The sequence below is a fragment of the Homo sapiens genome, chromosome 5 (assembly GCF_000001405.40).
Source record: "Homo sapiens chromosome 5, GRCh38.p14 Primary Assembly".
Classification (NCBI taxonomy): Eukaryota; Metazoa; Chordata; class Mammalia; order Primates; family Hominidae; genus Homo; species Homo sapiens.
The window spans coordinates 126,742,372-126,750,558 of NC_000005.10; the positions used below are offsets into that span (position 1 = coordinate 126,742,372).

The following is an 8,187-nucleotide window of genomic DNA, read 5'->3' on the forward strand; positions in this document are numbered from 1 at the left end:
AAAGTTTTTAAGTTTTCATAACCAAATGTGAAAGAAAGGGATTTTCTGTCCTGTGTAACACCCTCCACCCCCAAATTTTTAATATAAGGCCCCAGAACTTATGCCATCAAAGGCAAACAATTTTAGCAAGAGAAAGGTTTATTTTCTGCTTGTAGATGCTGCAGATGAACCTGAATGTTAAGGCCTGATGTCCTCCCAGGATGGAACCAGTGGCCGCAGTGTCAAGGACCCCTACTGTGTGGTGTATGTCAACAGGTTGGAGCCTGGAGTTTATCAGGGAGAACAAATGGGTAGAAACTGGGAAAATAAAAGAGACCAGGGAGAGTGTCTCTCTCATGGCATACTGTGACCACTCATGACATACCTGTGAGTACTAAAGGCAACTCAACGGCAAAAGAAATGTTTTACATAGTACAAGTGTTTTCAGGTTCAGCCAGCAAAAAGATTGGTTGCTTTCCAGTAGAGAACTGTTATTCCACTCTTTCACAGGCTGTGAAGCACCCACCCATAACAATAGTGGGCTTGGGACTGAAGGATAAATGGAGATCCCACATACCTTATGTCAAAATATTTAAAAGTTACAAGTTAAGCCAACAAACTGTTAAATAAAATATGTCTGTCAGGTCGGGTGCGGTGGCTCATGCCTGTAATCCCAGCACTTTGGGAGGCCGAGGAGGGTAGATCACCTGAGGTCAGGAGTTCGAGACCAGCCTAACCAACATGGGGAAACCCCGTCTCTACTAAAAATACAAAATTAGCCGGGCATGGTGGTGCATGCCTGTAATCCCAGCTACTAGGGAGGCTGAGGCAGGAGAGTCACTTGAACCTGGGAGACGGAGGTTGCGGTGAGCCGAGATCTCACCATTGCCCTTCAGCCTGGGCAACAAGAGTGAAACTCCATCTCAAAAAAAAAAAAAAAAAAAAAAAGGCCAGGCGCAGTGGCTCATGCCTGTAATCGCAGCACTTTGGGAGGCCAAGGCAAGCAGATCACTTGAGGTCTGGAGTTCAAGACCAGCCTGACCAACATGGTGAAACCCTGTCTCTACTAAAAATACAAAAATTAGCTAGGCATGGTGGCACACACCTGTAGTCCCAGCTACTCGGGAGGCTGAGACAGAATCGCTTGAACCCAGGAGGGGGAGGTTGCAGTGAGCTGAGATCCCGCCACTGCACTCCAGCCTGGTGACAGAGTGAGACACTGTCTCAAACAAAACAAAACAAAACAAAAAAAAAACGCCGGTTGTGGTGGTTCACGCCTGTAATCCCAACACTTTGGGAGGCCGAGGTGGGCAGATCACAAGGTCAGGAGATCGAGACCATCCTAGCTAACACGGTGAAACCCTGTCTCTACTAAAAATGCAAAAAATTAGCTGGGCGTGGTGGCGGGTGCCTGTAGTCCCAGCTACTTGGGAGGCTGAGGCAGGAGAATGGCGTGAACCTGGGAGGTGGAACTTGCAGTGAGCTGAGATCGTGCCACTGCACTCCAGCCTGGGTGACAGTGCGAGATTCCGTCTCAAAAAAAGAAAAAAGAAAAAAAATTGTTTTGTTTTCTTTTGTTTTAAGAGTCGGCGTCTTGCTATGTTGACTAAGCTAATCTTGAACTCCTGGCCTCAAGCAATCCTCCCACCTTGGCCCCCCAAAGTACTCCAATACAGGTGTGAGCCACCATGTCCAGCGTTTTAAATTTTTTTAGGCTTTACCCCTTAGTACTTCAGTGACTATTTCCTAAAGATAAAGACATTCTCAGCCGGGGGCGGTGGCTCACGCTTGTAATCCCAGCACTTTGGAAGGCCGAGGCGGGCGGATCACGAGGTCAGGAGATCGAGACCATCCTGGCTAACACGGTGAAACCCCGTCTCTACTAAAAATACAAAAAATTAGCTGGGCGAGGTAGCGGGCGCCTGTAGTCCCAGCTACGCAGGAGGCTGAGGCAGGAGAATGGCGTGAACCCCAGGGGGCGGAGCCTGCAGTGAGCCGAGATTGCACCACTGCACTCCAGCCTGGGTGAAAGAGCGAGATTCCGTCTCAAAAAAAAAAAAAAAAAAAAAGATAAGGACATTCTCTTACATAACCAGAAAGTCAGGAAATTATCATTGATACAATATTATTATTGATAATAGATCTTATTCAGATCTTTCCAGTTGTCCAAATAATGTTCTTTATGGCAAAAGAAATCCTACATCATGTATTGTGTTCAGTGAATATGTCTCTTTAGTTGTCTTTAATTGGAAACGATCAATTTCTTTTTTTTCTTTCATGACATTAATTTTTTTAATAGATATGGGGTCTTGCTATGTTGCTCAGGCTGGTCTCCAACTGCTGGCCTTAAACAGTTCTCCCACCTTAGCTTCCCAAAGTGCTGGGATTACAGGCATGAGCCACTACACCTGGCCAACATTAATATTTTTGAAAAATACTGGTCATTTATTTTCTAGAGTGTCCTTCAAGTTTGGGTTTGGCTGGAGCCTTATGATTAAATTCAGAGGAGGTATTTTTGGCAAAAACTTCACAGAATTCTCAGTGCATTATATCCAGTAAGCACATGACGTCAATTTCTTCTGATCTGGTGATTTTTAACTTTGATCTCAGGATAAGGATGTGTTTGCCAGTTTTCTCCACTGTAAGATAATTCTATTTTTCTCTTTATAAGTAAGATTGTAGGGAGCCACATGTTTCTGATGCTAGGCCTGATTTCTTCATCTTCGTGGTAGGAATAATAGTGTATATGAGGCTTTTCAGGCTATGACTCCAGCTCACATTCTCACCTGCTGAGCAGCTGGAGCTACAGGCATGCACCACCATTCCTAGTTAATTATTGTATATTTTATAGACACAGGGTTTTGCCATGTTGCCCAGGCTGGTCTTGAACTCCTGGGCTCAAGTCATCCACTCACCTCAGCCTCCCAAAATGCTGAGATTACAGCTATGAGCCACCATGCCAAAGCATTTTCCAAATATTGTCAATCCCTAGTTGGTTGAATTCACAAATGCTGAACTCACAGAGAGGGAGGGCCCACTGCAGTTATGTAATGATCAGTAGACTGCAAATTTCTTGGGGATAGAATTGGGTTTTGTGTCTTGGAATATGTTAAATTGTTACTGTTTTCATTTTGTGTTATGTTTGTTTGTTTTTTGAGACAGGTCTCACTCTGTCATCCAGGCTGGAATTCGGTGGTGCAGTCATAGCTCACTGCAGCCTCAGACTCCTGGGCTCAAGGAATTCTCACTTCTCAGCCTCCCAGTGCCTGGGGCTACAGGCATGCACCACCGCATTTGGCTAATTTTTGTTTATTTCGTAGAGACAGGGTTTCGTCATGTTGTCCAGGTTGGTCTGGAGCTCAGGCGATCCGTCCACCCACTTCCGCTTCCCAAAGGGCTGGGATTATAGGTGTGAGCCACAGTGCCTGGCCTTTTTGTTTTTTGTTTGTTTGGTTGGTTTTTCTGGATGAATGAGTACCTAGGTAAGGAGACACCAGTAAAAATGATTTGCTTGGGTTTCAAGGCTTATATCAGATCACAGTCTCTAGGCTTACAGAATAATGCAATGTAAAATGAGCCCTACTGAAAAATAACAATAGAGATATAAATCACCTCTTGATTCTAAATCAAACAATTTACAACTGGAAGAGATCCAATATTCAAATCTGCTATTTCATAATAGAAATGGAGGCATATCGAGAGTAAAGGATCCCCAAGATGAAGCAGAGCTGGGACCACACCTCAAACTTTGTGTCCAAGCCATTTCACAGGGCTAAATTCTTTTCAGTTTTGATCCAGCCCTTTACAAACACAAAAGAGGATGGATAAATTTCATGACCAGGAAAGATTTTCAGAGATACCAAATTAAGGTAGTTTCATTCATTTTTTTATTGAGGTAAAATTCACAGAAATAAAATGAACCATTAACCTTTTTTAAGTGTACAATTCAGTGGCATTTGCTGCACTAGTTTGTTGTTTCTTTTTCTCATATTAAAAAAATAAAAATTTCACACATGAAATTCCATTAGACCCTATCCCACTTAAGTTCTAGATAAAGAGTTATTTTCAGGAGGAGGATAGGTGAAAGCTTGTGTGGAGAAAGAATGTAATCAGTCCTCTCCTCTCTCCTCCCACACAGACTCCTTGGAAGGGGTAGATGCTGAGTTAACCCTTTAGTCAACACTGGCCAAAAACAGTAAGTAACTCCTTCTTCAAGCATACTATTTTATTGGAGAAGTTTATTTTTGTTTTGTTTTGTTTTGTTTTGTTTTTTGTTAGGCTGCAAGGGAGAAAAACAAAACAAAATGAAACAAAACCTTTCCTCTTAGGTTTAGTAACTGGGGCCTGCAAATTAAACTCACAAAAGACATTAACAGTAGCAAAGGCATACGTTACTTTATTCTCTTTGTTTTCTGTTGCTTAGAGCAGAACACTGGAAACTGGATAATATATAGACAAAAAATATTTATTTTTTGTTTTTGTTTTTGAGACAGAGTTTCACTCTTGTTGCCCAGGCTGGAGTGTGGTGGCGCGATCTTGGCTCACTGCAACCTCCACCTCCCGGGTTCAAGCAATTCTCCTGCCTCAGCCTCCCAAGCACCTGGGACTACAGGTGCGTGCCACCATGCCCAGCTAATTTTTGTATTTTAGTAGAGATGGAGTTTCACCATATTGGCCAGGCTGGTCTCCAACTCCTGACCTCGTGATCCACCCGCCTCAGCCTCCCAAAGTGCTGGGATTACAGCCGTAAGCCACCGTGCTCCGCCAACAAAAAATATTTCTTACAGTTATGGAAGCTGAGAAGTCCAAGGTCAGAGGGCTGCACTTGGTGAGGGCCTTCTTGCTGGTGGAGACTCTCTACAGAGTGACAAGGCAGTGTAGGGCATTGCATGGTGATGGGGCTGGGCATGCTAGCTCAGATCCTCCTCTTCTTATAAAGCTACCAGTCCCATTACCACACTATCCCACTAATTCATTATTCACCTCTTAAAGGTCCCACCTGTCAGTATTACCACGTTGAAAATTAAATTTCTTTTCTTTTTTAAATTTTTTTGAGATGGAGTCTCCCTCTGTCGTCCAGGCTGGAGTGCAGTGGCGTGGTCTTGGCTCATGCAATCTCTGCCTCCTCGGTTCAAGCTATTCTCCTGCCTCAGCCTCCAGAGTAGCTGGGATTATAGGTGTGCACCACCATGCCTGGCTAATTTTTGTATTTTTACTAGAGATGGGGTTTCACCATGTTGGCCAGGCTGGTATTGAACCCCTGACCTCAGGTGATCCACCTGCCTCAGCCTCCCAAAGTGCTGGGATTACAGGTGTGAGCCACCACACCTGGCCTGAAAATTAAATTTCAACATGAGTTTTGGAGGGGACAAATATTCAAATCATAGCATTTATTAATGTTAACATTTGTATGTGCACGGGGACTTTACAGAAATAAAGTGGAAACCCAAAGAGGTAGTTAGACCCAAGGGCTTATATACCATTTTAATGAAAAGCAATAACTGGTGGAGAAGTGACCAGACAGAGGAAAAAGAGTTTGGCCTTCTAAAAGTGGTAAATGGCAGGAAGGTGACCAGGAAATGTATAGTAGATAAGTGTCGTTTAGTAAGCCTTGTTATGCAAATAAGAGTCATTTTCCTCTCTCTGATATAGAAAAGGAAAACACCTTTAGAAGGAGGATTTTATGCCCTGCTTTTAGGCAGAAAGTGGGAGGACACGGAGTTCTTCCTTCATGTGCTGCTTCCTAATTGCCATCAGCTCAAAATCATCTTTATGCGGAAGTGGCATATTTGGGGGTGGCAGATTCTGATCTCCTTCAGTACCTTGAGGATTTCGTCTTGGGTCTAAAAACAGCAGGGGGCAAAAAGCCTGGCAGCTTTGATGAGAGTTTTAGTTGACTCATCATCCAACTGAAAAGAGTGGGGGTGGTGACTATTTAGGAACCCTGTGTAGGTGGAAGTGGTTGGTTTGTCGTTGTGTCTGACTCTTGCTCAGGCTTCACAGTCAGAGTAGGTTCTACTTCTCACTTGAGGCCCGCCCCCAGATCCCCAGCCCACCAGGATTTCCCTTCAGTGGCGCTTGCATTGAAGGCTACTTCTTTGGCTCCAAGCACAAAACCCAGGGATTTTTAGTGGGTTGTGGTTCTTTTTCTTTTCTTTCTTTCTTTCTCTCTCTTCTTTCTTTCTTTCTTTCTTTCTTTCTTTCTTTCTTTCTTTCTTTCTTTCTTTCTTTTTCTTTCTCTTTCTTTCTTTCTCTCCTTCCTTCCTTTCTTTTCTTTCTTCCCTCCCCCTCTCCCTCCCTCTTTCTTTTTTTATTTATTTCTTTCTTTCTCTCTCTTTTTCTTTCTCTTTCTTTCTTTCTCTCCTTCCTTTCTTCCTTCCCTTTCTTTCTTCCCTCCCTCCCTCCCTTCTTTCTTTCTCTTTCTTTTTCCTTCCTTCCTTCCTTTCTTCCCTCCCTCTCTCCTTCCTTCCTTTTTCTTTCTTTCTTTCTTTCTTTCTTTCTTTCTTTCTTTCTTTCTTTCTTTCTTTCTTCTTTCTTTCTTCCTTTCTTTCTTTTTTCTTTCTTTCTTTCCTTCCTTCCTTCCATCCTTCCTTCCTTCCTTTCTTTTCTTTCTTCCCTCCCTCTCTCCTTTCTTTCTTTCTCTTTCAGTCTTTCTTTACATTCGTTCTTTCTTTCTTCCTTTTTGAGACGGAGTCTCGCCCTGTGGCCCAGGCTGGAGTGCAATGGTGTAGTCTTGGCTCACTGCAACCTCTGCCTATCGGGTACAAGCAATTCTGCCTCAGTCTCCCGAGTACCTGGGATTACAGGTGCGCACCACCACGCTCCGCTAATTTTTTGTATCTTTAGTAGAGACGGGGTTTCACCATGTTGGCCAGGCTGGTCTCGAACTCCTGACCTCGTGATCTGCCCGCTTTGGCCCCCCAAAGTGTTGGGATTACAGGCCTGAGCCACCGCGCCTGGCTTTTTTCTTTTTTAAAATTTATTTTGATTTTTTATAGATACGCGGTCTTTCTATATTGCCAAAATTCTTGAGCTCAAGCAATCCACCCACCTCAGCCACCCAAAGTGTCGGAATTACAGGCATAAGCCACCAGGCCCACCCTGGTTGTTTTAAAAAATATATTCCTTGTTCAGTCTCCACAACTTCACTGTAGACTCTGTATTTGAAATATCTTTGTTTTTTCTTAACATACTACTTTTTATTTAATTTGACAAATATATGTTAAATAAAAAAAATTTTTTTTTGTTTTGAGATGGAGTCTTGCCTTGTCGCCCAGGCTGGAGTGCAGTGGGGCGATCTCGGCTCACTGCAAGCTCCGCCTCCCGGGTTCACGCCATTCTCCTGCCTCAGCCTCCCAAGTAGCTGGGACTACAGGCGCCCGCCACCATGCCCGGCTAATTTTTTGTATTTTTTTTTTTAGTGGAGACGGGGTTTCACCGTGTTGGCCAGGATAGTCTCGATCTCCTGACCTCGTGATCCACCTGCCTCGGCCTCCCAAAGTGCTGGGATTAAAGGCGTGAGCCACCGCGCCCGGCCCTAAATAAATGTTTTAAGTCCTTTCCCTGTGCATCTAATTTGTCAGACCTGTGTCCAATCTAAAGTTTAAGTCCACGTGGCTCTTAATCTCTCTGAGAAGAAAAGTCTAGTAGGGAAGATAAATGATATGCTTATTTGATAAATATTTATTGAACTTCCTAATAGCAGGAATGATGCTAGGCACTAGGGATGCAAAGGTGAATTGGTCAGGGTTCTGGTGCTGGAGGACTCACTCAGTGTGGCGGGAATTGTCAGTTTCCGCTGACAATAATGTTACCAGCGGAAGAGATCAGAGCCACCCTGAGTTACCAGCCACCTATCCAGCCTTACATCTGTATAGGTACGCAGCAACTTTGGTTCTTGCCTTCTCAGAAGAAAGAATTCTACTGAAGGGCATAAGGAGCGAGACAAGTTTCGGAGCAGGAATAGAAGTTTGTTTAAAACGGCTTTAGAATAGGAAAGAAGGAAAGCACACTTGGAAGAGACCCAAAGAACAAAAAGGGAGAGTCAAGTGCCCCATTTAACTGTGATACTAGGACTTTTTTTTTGAGACGGAGTCTCCCTCTGTCACCAGGCTGGAGTGCAGCGGTGTGATTACAGGCATGAACCACCGCGCCCGGTGATACTAGGACTTGTATAAGCTCACCTCTTTCCCATGATTCTTCCCTTAG

General features: G+C 43.9%; 2 annotated features.

Annotated features, from left to right (window-relative positions):
- Positions 5,735-5,784: an enhancer, noted in NCBI's record as "active region_23024". NCBI's record gives its function as "activates an Ori minimal core promoter by ATAC-STARR-seq in GM12878 lymphoblastoid cells {active_cell/tissue: GM12878}" and the evidence as "EXISTENCE:reporter gene assay evidence [ECO:0000049][PMID:35858748]".
- Positions 6,917-7,842: an enhancer, noted in NCBI's record as "H3K27ac-H3K4me1 hESC enhancer chr5:126084980-126085905 (GRCh37/hg19 assembly coordinates)". NCBI's record gives its function as "activates a minimal SCP1, AML or CMV promoter by ChIP-STARR-seq in naive H9 embryonic stem cells {active_cell/tissue: H9 hESC(naive)}" and the evidence as "EXISTENCE:reporter gene assay evidence [ECO:0000049][PMID:30033119]".